The sequence below is a fragment of the Homo sapiens genome, chromosome 5, assembly GCF_000001405.40.
Source record: "Homo sapiens chromosome 5, GRCh38.p14 Primary Assembly".
Taxonomy (NCBI): Eukaryota; Metazoa; Chordata; class Mammalia; order Primates; family Hominidae; genus Homo; species Homo sapiens.
The window spans coordinates 176081933-176097100 of record NC_000005.10 but is presented as its reverse complement, the minus strand read 5'-3'; the positions used below and the strand labels follow the sequence as shown (position 1 = coordinate 176097100).

At 44.1% G+C, this 15168-nt stretch overlaps 1 pseudogene across 1 annotated transcript in view; it reads right to left on the bottom strand.

Moving 5' to 3' along the window:
* FAM153B (family with sequence similarity 153 member B) overlaps nt 1-15168 on the bottom strand; it is a 64088-nt pseudogene that overhangs the window by 30042 nt on the left and 18878 nt on the right. Inside the window, exons 2-6 of the transcript NR_169299.1 lie at nt 7580-7638; nt 6707-6731; nt 3827-3906; nt 3333-3357; nt 201-277 (exon numbers count right to left, since the gene is read on the bottom strand). The product of NR_169299.1 is annotated as a family with sequence similarity 153 member B (transcript). The remainder of the gene's footprint in view (nt 1-200; nt 278-3332; nt 3358-3826; nt 3907-6706; nt 6732-7579; nt 7639-15168) is intronic.

Below are 15168 nucleotides of genomic sequence, written 5' to 3'. Positions count from 1 at the left end.
TACTGCCCTAGAGTTTTTAAGTGAACCTGTCATCTTGAATTCATTCTTGCTGGTAATTGACTCTGACTTTACAGCTGCCCACCAAGACATTCTGTAAGTCATCTATAATGTACATGGTAAGATGATCATCTCTTATCTCAATTTCTATGGAAACTAAGAGAAATAAAATTCCCACCTCAGATAAACAAAAAAGACTTTACCTTCACAGAGCCTGGCAACGTCTCCGAGAGTATCTCGGGTGGACACAATGGCTTGCCCAAGGAGCCTTCGTCACGCTCTAGGAAACACAGAGTAATTGTCAGCACGTTGGGTGCACTGAAGGAATCCGTCAGGCAGACTTGTGTGCTAAAAACACGGGGCTGGCACATGTAGACAAGGGGGGTTAACTGCAAAAACGGACCTCCTGCCAGAACATCCTCCTTGGTGATGAAGAAAGGTCAATGAGACCATCAGGAAAGCCACGGAAGACAGAGCCTTGGCAGCACAGACATGCACTGCTGATGCCATGGCAGTGTCTCATCATTCCCCTATGCGTTTTGAGGCCTGGGAAATTTCCACTTTCCTGTTGAAATGTGACAATGTCATTTATCTTTCCTGGGTCTACATATGCCTCTCTTGCACTTTCCATTCATTTTATTGAACTTCAGACATTGTTGTGGTAAAACATATACAAAATTTATTATTGTAATCATTCAGTGCACACTTCAGGAACAGACAGACCAGAACCGCAGGGGCAGAGAAGAGAAAACCTCACTGTTTGAGGAGCCCACCCTCTTCTCCCCGACCCTGGATTACAACCCACGCAGGTAACTGGGTAAGTGTGGGAACCCGGAGACTATAGAAAATGAGCAGAAAGTTTTTGCACACTTGTGCTAGATCTCAGAACAGGAATGCAGGCATCGGAACATCACTGGGGCCCAAGATGGGCTGCCCAGAGCTGAGCTCTGGGATGAGAAAGAAGGATGAGGACACAGTCCCTGCCCTCCCAGTGACCAGCCATGGCCAGGATTCCTCCACCTGTGAGTAGGAGACTACAGACTTTGGGACTGATGATTGCAAGGCTGTCTCAGAGAAACTGATCTCTTATGGATCACGCGGGAGGGTTGCAAGGACCACCTAAACTCCAGGGCAGCCCCTCTCCCTTTGTTGAGTTCAGCCTGCCTTAGAGCAAGGTCCCCTCCTCGCCTCCTCCAACACTAGCATTGGGCAGCTGCCCTGCCTTGGAGCTGAGGCTCCCTCCAGTAAAACGGAACTCTGGGCCAGGACACTCTTGGCCAATAGTAGCTACACAAGGACCACCTGTCCAGCGACTCCCAGAAGCTGATCTTTGTCCCAGCCACAGGGTGATCAAGCCTGGCAACTACTCTGTGTCTGGCCTGACCCTGAAGTCCATCCCTAATGATCATGTCCTCTCTGGGCTAAGTTGAACATTTCAGGAACTCACTCCTGTTCTCTGTCTCTCACTAATTTCTGGTGGTGCCATTGCTGTCAACACACAGGGAGATGGAGAAGACAAGAAACAAGAAAGTAGCTCCTCTGTCCAGGCTTTTGGGAAGATGGCCAATGTTCAGGCCAGCCATGAAGTCGGAGCTCAACTCCTCCTTCAGATGAGGCTTGAACATTCCGGCCGTGCCCAGGTGATGTAGAACTGACTCTCCTGATGTTGCACCTTGGCTTCCCTCGTGGCTTTGCTGCCCTCATGCCTTCCTTCTGCTCCTCCAAATCATGTTCCTCTGCAGGCCCAGGCCAAGGCTGTAGCCTGCTGTCTCTCGCATAGAGCCCAACGGGCAGCTGTCTATGAATTTTTAGAGCCCCAATGTTGGTAACACTGATTTGTACCTTTAATCGCTCACAGCAGAAAGCCCCCTGAGTACCACAAGAAACTATATTCTAGAGATTAAAGATGACTAGGGGAATCGGGTTATGAGGGGACAGTGTCTGAGGTTAGTGAAGGACATTTTCAAATCACACCAGCCTGATTGTTTTACAACGTGGGATAAGTAATGACACCTACACAGCAATCAAATTTGATTTATACACAATAAGTTTCCACCAAATGCATACTCCAAGAAAAAACTCAAGCTAAATTTGGCTGACTTTATATTCCTATTCACCGAAACCAACTGCATTCACTTGTTTTTTTTTTGTTTTTTTTTTTTTTTTTTGCAACAGCCTTCAGAAACAAACAAGCACCTTTGCCAACAGTCGGTTGAATGGGGACATCGTGGAGCCTCTGCAGTACCACAGCCGAGTTTGCTTTCCCACCTGCAGTGCATGAGCCACCCTCCATCATGCTAGGAAGGCAAGTGCTCGCCCTGCCTCTCAGACCCTAGGGCAAACCCCTTGGTTTTCTTTTCATGTAGTTTCTGAGCCGAGCACACAGAAACCATGACTAGGCTGAGGGATAGAAGGCTGAAACTCTATATGACCCTGGAATTATCCATTCTGGGCCCCATTATCTTATGGTCAATATGAGGCCTCAATGGAGAAAGTTGGGGTGATTTCACCCCAACCCCACCTGCAGGCTCCTTTCTCAGTTTCCCAGAACTCGCTGTAGCATGAGGCTGCTCCAGGGTCTAAATGCACAGGAAGAAGCCCTGCCCCACTCTCCCTGCTCAAGATGGGTGGTGGAGGGTCAATTCTGAGGGCTTTGGTAGATAAAAGGCTTGTAAAGGAGGGAAGGGGCTAGAGTGAGGTGTCATGACCACTCCAGTGGCAGAGGAAATAGAAAGGCCTGTGAAGAGGTGAGGTTTATTAGAAAATAAAGTATAGCAGGGAATTCTGAATGAAAAAATAAAATCAGCAGAGATTCTGACACAGTCCTGTTCTATGGGTGTGCAGTAAGAATTTGCCTTTGTGTTGACAGGATTTCTTTTAGGTTTATTGAAGTGCCCTGTGCATGAAATAAACTGCAAACATTGGAAGCTTACAAGTTAATCTTTTTTTGTGCCTACAATAGGACCGCAATGGTGACGGAAATCTCTGTTGAGAATGTGGACACTAGAAACTCTGGGGATATGTAGTATGGAAACCCACACACCCGCCCGCCAGACACACGGACCATGGCACCACATGAATTCACAAAAGACATGGCAGGCCCCTTGCACGGGATCCCACCCCACCTTCAGAGAACACAGTTGTTCCCGGGGACTGCAGAATGTGGCCACTGTTTCTTATCTAGAAAAACCATTTCTCCCATCACAGTCTAGGTCCTCATTCACAACATGAAGCTCAGCTCAGGCTGCCTGTCTACAGGAAAGCCTGTGAGACAGGGCCACATTCCTCAACATCTAGATTACTCATCAGTATGAGAGGGGTTCCCCAATACGTACCACATTGTGGAACTCCCAAGGATGTCTGTAACGACAGAAAATAAATTGCTATGAGCATCAGACCATGCTGTGTCCTGTGAGCACAGGACTTTTCTTCACTTAGTGACATTAGAAAACAAGATGGAAAAACCAGTGTTCAAAGGAACCCCAAAGAAGAACAGAGCAAATCAACTCATACTAAAGACACAAATTTTTCTCAGAGGATATTTCCTCTCAAGTCCATGTTGGTTGGCAAGTAACTGATTTTGCTCCAAAGAGAGAACAAAATTAGTAAGGCAAAAGCTCCCTGCCCCACAATGTGTGACTGATGCTGTCATTTTCTCCCACTGTTTTAAATCAAGCCTCAGTGGGGACAGACTCTCACTTACAATTCCCCCCAAGGACACTGTGTAACTAAGATACATATTGTCAGAGTCTCATATCTTAATTTAATCCAAATAAGATAAAGCTAAGAAAGCAACTGTTTTTTCTCAGACAAATCCAGGTGGCCTGACCTTCATCGCCTCTTGGTACTTCTTCCATGTGCTGTATAGGTGGAGCTCCCGTAGTCGCCGTAGTTGCCGTTTCATCTCAACTAGGAGGATACAGAGTGACCGTCAGCACCTTGGTGGTGGCGCTCATGAACAATTCAGTAACACTGCTTGAGGTGGGCTTGGGAGGAGGGTAGCAGGCACAGGAGAGATGCAGGAAGAAAGGGAATCAGGGCCTTTGGCTTCCTAGCTCCAGGCCGCCTCATAAACATATAATAGCCAATCTCAAACAGTGCACACCAGCAGTGCAGGCTGTGTGTCCCTGGCAGCCTCTTAGGGCTCCTCCTTCCTAATCTGACCTGAGCTAACTTGCCCTCTTATTGATCCCTGCCAAAGTCATTTCCTCCTCAGAATCCACATGTGCTGCTGATCTGTTTATCATCCCTTCTAGAAGATTTTGTACTAAACAAGAAGTAACCTTTCTTAAAATAGGAGATTTAATTCTAGCCAAAAGATTTTATTACTAACTTTCTGTTACAAGGCAAATAAACAGAGATTTGAAAATACTCTATTATCCTACCATTTAACGATGACCCCTACTTAGCATGTGATATTTGTTCTTCCGCTCTTCCTTTTCAACACCATGTGTGTGCACCATGGAGTTCACTGCTGCTCATGCTCACACTGACTCCAGCACAGAGACAGTCTGTCATGGGGAGCAGCGAGGCGGGGCAAGGGGTGGGCACTGACCCTCTCCAACCCAGCTGTGCAGAGATTCCATCAGGGAAAATGGGTGCCAGGCTAACACCCAAGTTGAGTCTTGAGATTTTATTGGATGCTATGTGTTGGGATTGGTTTCCACTGAATTTCTAAGACTTGTGGTGATTATCTCCTTAAATACAATAGAGTATGTCACTGATTATTGTCTGCTTTTGAACAGGAGCTGAGGAATGACCTCAACGCTGTAGACCAAAAGCCTGAGGACTCTGTGTGTTTTACATTAATGATCACACTAAAGCCCACAGTGCAATGTACCTACTCAAACAAACCCTGGGTTAGCTGACCATTGAGACCATCCGATAATGATAGTGTTTGGGATCTGAATAGGTTTTCATTCTTCCAGCACACAGAAGTGCTGGAATAACTTGGCCTAGCAAGAAATTATACCAGGGCTTTGTGACAAATTCAGTGTAGTAGCCCATGGCATTAACCTTCCACTCATTCCCGAGTTCACATGTGTCTCTTCCATTTAAAAGACCAAGAGCTTGGGAAATTCAACTCTGCAGCATGTCCATCTGAGGACTGGGGATATTAAACTTATCTTCAGGTACAGCTGTGGTGGACGATGAATGGGTAGCTGAGTAGCTGGTATTACAGACATGTGCTCCCTGAGTAGCTGGTATTAAAGACATGTGCTTCCTGAGTAGCTGGTATTAGAGACATGTGCTCCCATGCCCAGCTAATTTTGTATTTTTAGTAGAGATGGGGTTTCTCCATGTTGATCAGGCTGGTCTTGAACTCCTGACCTTAGGTAATCCACCCTCCTTGGCCTCCCAAAGCACTGGGATTACAGGCATGAGCCACCGTCTCCAGCCAGAACATTTTGTACGAGGTAAAAAGCAACCTTTCTTCAAAGAGGTGATATAATTCTAGCCAAAATATTCTACATATTCACTAACCTTTGTTTCAAAGAAGACTAAACCAAGATTTGAAAATACTCAATTATCCTACCATTTAAAGATGACCTCTACTTAGCCTGTGATATTTGTCCTTCTGCTCTTTCTTTTAACACTGTGTGTGTGTGTCATGGGGCCCGCTGTTGCTCATACTCACACTGGCTCCAGGAATGGGACAGCCCTTCATGGGTGACAGCAGGTGGGAGCGCTGACCCTCTGTTACCCAGCTGTGCAGAGATTCCAGCAGACAAGATGGGCACCAGGCTAACAGCCAATTGGCTCTGTGAGATCTTGTTGGGTGCTGTGTCTTGGGTATGTGTGCTACTGAATTGGAGCATTTCTAACGTTTGTGGTGATGATCTCATTAAATATAATAGAATATATCTCTGAATGTTCTCTGCCCTTGACCAGGAACTGAGGAATACCCCATCACTTAAGACCAAAGGCCTGGCAGCTCCCTCTGTATGTTTCATATTAATGACCGCACCCAAGTTCACTGTACAATGAACCTACTCAAACTCTGGGTCAGCTGACCATTGAGACCATTCTATTGTGGTATACAGTGCTGGAGATCTTTATAGGCCAACATACTTCCACATACACATAGATGCTAAGGACTCTCTGACATGGTGACAAGTTACACCAGGGCCATGTTATAACTTCAGACTAGTAGCCCACAGCATCACCCTTCCACCCATTCCCGAGTTCATCTATGCCATTTCCATTTAGGAGACCAAAAGCCTGAAAAATTCATCTCTACATCATCTCCATGTGAGGACTTGGGATATTAAACTTACCTTCAGCTACAGCTGTGGTGAGGAATGAATGGGTTGATTTTTTGCAAAAATGCAGTGGTGATCAAATTTTGTTTCTAGAATATCAATCTTTGTGTTGTGCTTTGCATATGGGAACGTATTTTCTGGGGAAAAGCACACAAACTCGCAGAGACATTCACAATCATTCCACATTGACTCATTCCTCCATACCTCCCAACTCTGATTCACAACACCCTCTTCTATCCAAATGACCCTGTTCCTTCCAAGCACCAGAGTCAACGGTCACATTTCTTGACCAGGTTCTTCACTTGTCAAGACAAAAGTGCTTGAACCACATTTCTGGCAGGAAGTTCAAACCAGAGTGGCTCTCCAGAAAAAATGAGGCAAGAAAGTGTCACCTTTGTCAACACTAGAATTTTTCCTCAGCATAGGGGTGATTCCAGAATACGTACTGTCTCTCTCTGTGTCTTTGTCCACCTGCATTTAGAGAAAAACAAAACACTACAAGGGTCAGACCATGCTGTGTCCTGTGTGCACAGGTTTTCCTTTTCCCTCCCTCCCTTCCTTCTTTCTTTCCTTTCTTTTCTTTCTTTTTCTTTCTTTCTCTTTTTCTCTTTCCTTCCTTCTTTCTTTCCCTTCCTTCTTTCTCTTCCTTCTTCCCTTCCCTTCTTCCTTCCTTCCTGCCTCTCTCTCTCTCTCTCTCTCTCTCCCCTACTCCCTCTCTCCCTTCCTCTCTCCCTTTCTTTGCTGGAATTTCGCTCTGTCACCCAGGCTGGAGTACAGTGTTATGATCATGGCTCACTGCAACATCCGCCTCCTGGCCTCAAGCGATCCTGCTCCCTTAGCCTCCCCAGTAGCTGAGATTACAGTAGCCGGTCAGCATGCCCAGCTAATTTTTGTATTTTTAGTAGAGATGGGGTTTCACCATACAAGTCTTTTCTTTACTTGGTGACATTAGAAAAGCAGATGGGAGACAGTGGTTGAGGCAATGGTCCTAAAGCCTCGAAGACACTTCTGGAAAGGCACAAGATTTTTATGCAAGACTTTCAAGATTGTTTTGGTTGTATAGTCACAATGTTGTAAGAAGAAAGCTTTTCCCCTAACAAAAATTCTTTCTGCCATACAGTTCATAACTGAAGGTGTCATCTAAGAATGCCATCTGAGATCATTTCTTACCTGGTAATGACCCTCACATTTTCCCACCAAAATATTCTGTAAGTCATCTATAATGTACATGGTAAGATTTTCATATCTCAATTCAAATAAAATAAAAAAGAACCAAGAGCAACAAAATTTCCATCTCAGAAACATAAAGAAGAACTTACCATATGAACGCCCAGGACATCTTCAGATGAAGCTTCCTGCACCAGGTCCTCATCGTAATCTAGGAAACACAGAGTAACTGTCATCATGTTGGTTCCACTGAAGGAATCCCTTAGGCAACCTTGGATGCTAAGGACAGGGGGCTGGCATGTGTAAAGGAGGTGGGTTAAGGGTAGAAACTTGGCTGCCACTGGGACACCCTCCTGGGTGATGAGGGAAGGCAAATGAGACCATCAGGAAGCCACAGAAGTCAGGACCTGGTTCTCTGGCTAAGCCCCCACACCACTGCAAAAAAGGCAGAGTTCACACAGGGTGGCACACAAATGCACTGCTGATTTCATGACAGTGTCCCATCACCCCCTTGTGCATTTTGAGGCCCGGTAAATTTCTTTTGTTGTTGAAATGTTATAATGTCATTTATCTTTCCTTGATCTACATATGCTCCTCCTGTACTTATCATCCATTTAATTGGCTTTAAAATCAGTATTGTGGCCAAAATACATCATATTTATTATTTTAATAATCAAGTGCACACTTCAGGGGCATCAGTGCCATTCACAATTCTGTGCAGTAAACTAAATGTAATCCAAATCCAGATGTCTTACTTTCCACCTTAGGAAACTAGAGAAAAAAGTGTAGTGTAATGTAAACCAGGCAACACTCCTCCCCCAAAATATAACAATATTTGCAGAAATCAATGTAATAGAAATAATAAAATAAAGAAACTCAACAAAACCAAAAGCTGCTTCTTAGAAAAGATCAATAGAATTGGTAAACCTCCAGCAAGGCTAATCACAAAGAAAATACAGAAGACACGATGTACAAACAATATGAATAGAAGAGGAATTATCCTTGCTGATCCCATAATCATTAAGAAAATAATAACAGAATACTTTCAACAAATCTATGCCTGCAATTTTTTAAGTGCAGGAGTGAAAGTCTATTGAAAAGTTTGAGAGTAGGAATGACAGGAAGCACAGTAGCCTTTGATGAGAACCAAGCAGGCAACTTGTCAGATTCAAGTGTCTACACCCACAAATTTCCTAGCTTAGATGAAATGGACAAATGCCTTCAAAGGGAGAAACTACCATAACCACCCAAAGGAGAGATAGATAATCTGAGTAGGCCTCTATCATTATAGAATTTAATCAGGAAGTAATAACTTAAAAAAAAATGCCCACATAATTGTACTGGTGAATTCTGCCTAACACAATGGAAAACATAGTCTTACCAGCAAGTGATCAAAATTCTACATATTTACCCAGCTAAATTAGAAAATTATGTTCATCTTAAAATCTGCACAAGAATGTGGGCAGCTTTATTCATAATTACCCAAATTGGAAGCAGCTCAGATGGTCTTCAGGCAGTGAGTGAACCAACTAACCCTGTTCGATGAAACCAATGGACTATTGTTCACTGATAAGAATTATTAAGCTGTTAAGCTTCAAAACGATACAAAAGATCTTACATGTATATTGCTAAGTAAAATAAGTTAGTTATACGTAGCTACATACTCTATGATTCCAACTCTATACAATTCTGGAAAAGGAAACCTATAGAGGCAGTAAAATCATCCATAGTTGTCAGGAATCCTCAGAAAAGGAGAGGAATTAGTAGATGCAGCTCAGGTCATGTGTAGGATGTGAAATTATTCCGTCAGGGTGACAAAAGACATTGTCAGTTTGTCAAAACCCATAGGCTGGACAACACAGAGTGAACCTTGATGCTAACCCTAGATTTCTGTTCATAAGAATGTATCACTATTGGCTCAGTCACTGATGCTAACCTTGGACTTCTGTTCATAAGAATGTATCACTATTGGCTCAGTCATTGTTACGAGCGTTATCACACTCACAAAGATGGGATCACCAAAAAATACTGAGGAAGGTGGGTATATGGAAAGTTTTGTTGCCACTTCCTCCATTTTTCGGTTACTTCCAAACAGTTTGAAGTGATGTCCATTACTTTACAAACCTGGCAACACTGTCTCAGAAAAAGATCCTTTTTAATTAATGTTTTAACAATCAGCAAAATGTCTACAATTTGCACTGAGATGTTATTTACTATTAAAAGTAAACCCAAATCTGGAATGGAAATACACCTTTACTCCTCTGGTTGTAGCACTAGTGATTGACTTAACACATTTAAATATGCACACATGAAATAAAGAATATAGCATCGCAATTTTATAATTGTCTGAAATATGAGACACTGAAGAATCTAGAAATCATATCATGAATGAACTGAATGACTGAATTTCCACAACACCTTCCATTGATGCAACTCTAGGGTATATATGGCCGGGATGCCAGTGATACCAGTGATAGGTGATTGGCTTCTCACGCTCGCGGTGGCAGACGGTGGATTCCCCTGGCATCCTAGGATACACTATTTCATCCTCGCCACAACACACTGGGAAATGAATTAAAATAAAGACAGGTGTTGGTGTCTTGCCGCAAAAGATCAGAGAAATGAGTAATTATTTATTCACAGCTTAAATGTTTGATTCCATTGTTCATCATCTGCAGAGCAAAGCCCCCTGAATCTGAGTTGGGCTTCAGAAAGACTTGCACTGTGGGTTGCACGTATAAGTGTGCAGGCAAATGCCTGTATTGAGATGAGACATTACAGAAAGGTAGTAGATTGGAGTGACCAAGAGCATAGGGTCCGGAGCATAGGATCTGAGCTCAGGGACTTCTGAGAAGCTGCTAGAACCTGAGGAAGTTCTATAGATCCCTCTGTGCCTCCTAATGGCCTACGTTATGTTAAAAGGGTAAGAATAGTTAAATGGACCTAAAGCCTTAAAACGGGTGCTTCCTAAGTGCCATAAAGTGTTCAATTATTTCATGTCTGGAAGAATAAGCCAGGCCCTTGGTAGTGGTTAATAGAGAAGCCACTTGGGGGACTCCAGGGCAGTGGAGGCTAAAATTCTTTTCATTCTTGACATGGGTCTCATGCTTTAGAACTCGTGAAAAGTTTTTGTTTGAATTTCCTGTGATGCCCACATAGGCCCAGAGAGATGGGCAGAGCAGGGGCTGCCACTCAGAGGTGACGGTTCAGGGAAGTGAAATGAAGAGATTTGAAGCGACCTGCCTAGGGTCACAACACTGACGAATGATAGATCTGGGACAAGAATTTGGCTGGTTTTCTGGGGACAGAGATCCCTGAATACCTGAGGCCTCTAAATCATGGCCTGGACCCTGAACCTGGAGCTCTTTCCACTCCCTTTCTCAATCCTCCTGCACCAAGGGCTCTTCAGGAAGGTTGATGTATTTGGAAGAGGTGGTGAGTCCAGAAAAAAGCCAAATCATTTAACAAAACAAAACTCCTGTCTCTAGGTTTTAACTCCTGGGCTAAAATATGGCACTTTCCTGCAAACGAAGCCTCTCTGAGGAACAAATTCAAATGTCTGGTCATCCTACCCATTGCCCTGTATTGTCAGCTGTCTGGCAGTGAGCACCCCTCCATGACCAACTGACCACAGCAAGGGACCAAGTTCTGCTTGGCCCCCAAGGTAGTTCGGAACTTAGGACCTTCCAAACTAACTACCACTTGATGGCTGTGCCAAGAATAAACTTCCCTTCAACTGAACCATTCTGAAGAAGCAATTAATGGGAATTAACTGAAAATGTGGCCCCCCAGTGGATTTTTCAGCAGTTTATTCTGTATCTAGTCTATGAAAGAGTGTGTGTGGCGGGGGAGGCCGGGTGTGGTGGCTCACACCTGTATCCCAGCACTTTGGGAGGCCAAGGTGGGCAGATCACAAGGTCAGGAGTTCAAGACCAGCCTGGTCAATATGGTGAAACCCTGTCTCTACTAAAAATACAAAAATTAGCCAGGCATGGTGGCAGGCACCCGTAGTCCCAGCTACTTGGGAGGCTGAGGCAGGAGAATCGCTTGAACCTGGGATGCAGAGGTTGCAAAGAGCTGAGATTGTGCCACTGCACTCCAGCCTGGGTGACAGAATGAGACTCTGCCAAAAAAAAAAAAGAAAAGAAAAGTCCAGGCTCTGTGGCTCATGCCTATAATCCCATCACTTTGGGAGGCCAAGGAAGGTGGATCAGGAGGTCAGAAGTTCAAGACCTCCCTTGCCAACATTGTAAAACCCTGTCTCTACTAAACATACGAAAATTAGCCAGGCGTGGTGGCGGATGCCTGTAATCCCAGCTACTCAGGAGGCTGAGGCAGGAGAATTGCTTAAACCTGGGAGGTGGAGGTTGCTGTGAGCCATTATCACACCACTGCATTCTAGCCTAGGCAACAGAGCAAGACTCTTCCAAAAAAAAAAAAAAAAAAAAAAAAATTGGCATTGGAAGCAGTGTATTTTCTAGAGAAAAGTATTTGAGGCAAAAATCTTGATAGAAGAATAAAAAAACACAAATTGAGTAATAAAACTCTGAAACATATTTATAAATCTGTAGACAAATAGGAGCTGGGGAAATAAAAAAAAATCAGAATGACATTTAACGTACAGGAAAACTGGCTTATCTGAAGAAATTGCAGTCAGAAGATGGAAATGAACATACATACCTTCGAGGCAACAACTATAAGCACATCCCATTGTGAGTCCTCTGAGACAACTAAGCTGCGTTTACTGCCAACGTTCAGTTGCCAGAATGGCAGTTAAAATGAAAGGCAAGACCTATATCATCAGATCACCTCAGCAACAGGTCACAGTAGAATTTTCGCAAGCATCCATGTCACAATATGGGGCCCAACTGCTGTGATCTAGACCAGTCCATTGTCACATCGACAAGGGGTCACTTAGACTCCATGTTTCATTTCAAAAACTGAATCTCAGACACACAGTATTATTCTATGTGTATGAAACAAACATTAAAGGAGGAAAAAGATTTGCCTCTCAAATATATTTGATAGTGAAAATTTCAGGGTAAAGATAAGAAAAGCTAATACATTGAGAATAAAGGGAGATTCCAGGCTTGATGTGAAATGCCTTCCCCACCAATTTCTACTATTCCTGAGTCACCAGAGAGTCCTAGCTTCAACAATTCTAAACTAGCTCCAAATTACATTTAAAATGCATTAGTGTAACTTCAATTTTAAAGCCAATCTCTAACAATATAATTCATAGTAATAAAAAAAGATATGATTCAGTACAACTTTCCATCACTGTTGATTCATCACAAGTTTTAAGAACTATTAAATCAAATGGGTCATTAATGAGGCACAAAAACTGCATTAATAGGGGGTGGAGCCAAGATGGCCGAATAGGAACAACTCCAGTCTGCAGCTCCCAGCATGAGCGATGCAGAATACGAATGATTTCTGCATTTCCAACTGAGGTACCAGGTTCATCTCATTGGGGATTGTAGGACAGTGGGTGCAGGACAGTGGGTGCAGCGCACTGAGTGTGAGCCGAAGCAGGGCAAGGCATTGCCTCACCCGGGAAGTGCAAAGGGTCAGGGAATTCCCTCCCCTAGCCAAGGAAAGGGATGACAGACAGCACCTGGAAAATCAGGTCACTCCCACCCTAATACTGCGCTTTTCCAATGGTCTTAGCCAACGGCACACCAGGAGATTATATCCTGCACCTGGCTCGGAGGGTCCTACGCCCATGGAGCCTCGCTCATTGCTAGCACAGCAGTCTGAGATCAAACTGCAAGGCTGCAGCGAGGCTGGGGTAGGGGCGCCCGCCATTGCCCAGGCTTGAGTAGGTAAACAAAGTGGCTGGGAAGCTCTAACTGGGTGGAGCCCACCGCAGCTCAAGGAGGCCTGCCTGCCTCTGTAGACTCCACCTCTGGGGGCAGGGCATAGCCAAACAAAAGGCAGCAGAAACCTCTGCAGACTTAAATGTCCCTGTCTGACAGCTTTGAAGAGAGTAGTGGTTCTCCCAGCACACAGTTTGAGATCTGAGAACGGACAGACTGCCTCCTCAAGTGGGTCCCTGACCCCCGAGTAGCCTAACTGGGAGGCACCACCCAGTAGGGGCAGACTGACACCTCACATGGCCAGCTACTCCTCTGAGACAAAACTTCCAGAGGAACAATCAGGCAGCATCATTTGCTGTTCCTCAATATTCGCTGTTCTGCAGCCTCCACTGCTGACACCCAGGCAAACAAGGTCTGGAGTGGACCTCCAGCAAACTCCAACAGACCTGCAGCTGAGGGTCCTGGCTGTTAGAAGGATAACTAACAAACAGAGAAAGGACATCCACACCAAAACCCCATCTGTATGTCACCATCATCAAAGACCAAGGGTAGATAAAACCACAAAGATGGGGAAAAACAGAGCAGAAAAACTCAAAATTCTAAAAATCAGAGTGCCTCTCCTCCTCCAAAGGAACGCAGCTCCTCACCAGTAACAGGACAAAGCTGGATGGAGGATGACTTTGACGAGTAGAGAAGAAGGATTCAGATGATCAAACTTCTCCGAGCTAAAGGAGGAAGTTCAAACCAATGGCAAAGAAGTTAAAAACCTTGAAAAAAGATTAAATGAATGGCTAACTAGAATAACCAATGCAGAGAAGTCCTTAAATGACCTGATGGAGCTGAAAACCATGGCATGAGAACTATGTGACAAATGCACAAGCCTCAGTAGCCAATTCGATCAACTGGAAGAAAGGGTATCAGTGATGGAAGATCAAATGAATGAAATGAAGCGAGAAGAGAAGTTTAGAGAAAAAAGAATAAAAAGAAACAAACAAAGCCTCCAAGAAATATGGGACTATGTGAAAAGACCAAATCTATGTCTGATTGGTGTACCTGAAAGTGACGGGGAGAATGGAACCAAGTTGGAAAACACTCTGCAGGATATTATCCAGGAGAACTTCCCCAATCTAGCAAGGCAGGCCAACATTCAAATTCAGGAAATACAGAGAATGCCACAAAGATACTCCTCGAGAAGAGCAACTCCAAGACACATAATTGTCAGATTCACCAAAGCTGAAATGAAGGAAAAAATGTTAAGGGCAGCCAGAGAGAAAGGTCAGGTTACCCACAAAGGGAAGCCCATCAGACTAACAGCTGATCTCTCGGCATAAACTCTACAAGCCAGAAGAGAGTGGGGGCCAATATTCAACATTCTTAAAGAAAAGAATTTTCAACCCAGAATTTCATATCCAGCCAAACTAAGCTTCATAAGTGAAGGAGAAATAAAATCCTTTACAGACAAGCAAATGCTGAGAGATTTTGTCACCACCAGGCCTGCCCTACAAGAGCTCCTGAAGGAAGCACTAAACATGGAAAGGAACAACCGGTACCAGCCACTGCAAAACCATGCCAAATTGTAAAGACCATCAAGGCTAGGAAGAAACTGCGTCAACTAACGAGCAAAATAACCAGCTAACATCATAACGACAGGATCAAATTCACACATAACAATATTAACCTTAAATGTAAATGGGCTAAATGCTCCAATTAAAAGACACAGACTGGCAAATTGGATAAAGAGTCAAGACCCATCAGTGTGCTATATTCAGGAAACCCATCTCACGTGCAGAGACACACATAGGCTCAGAATAAAGGGATGGAGGAAGATCTACCAAGCAAATGGAAAATAAAAAAAGGCAGGGGTTGCAATCCTAATCTCTGATAAAACAGACTTTAAACCAACAAAGATCAAAATAGACAAA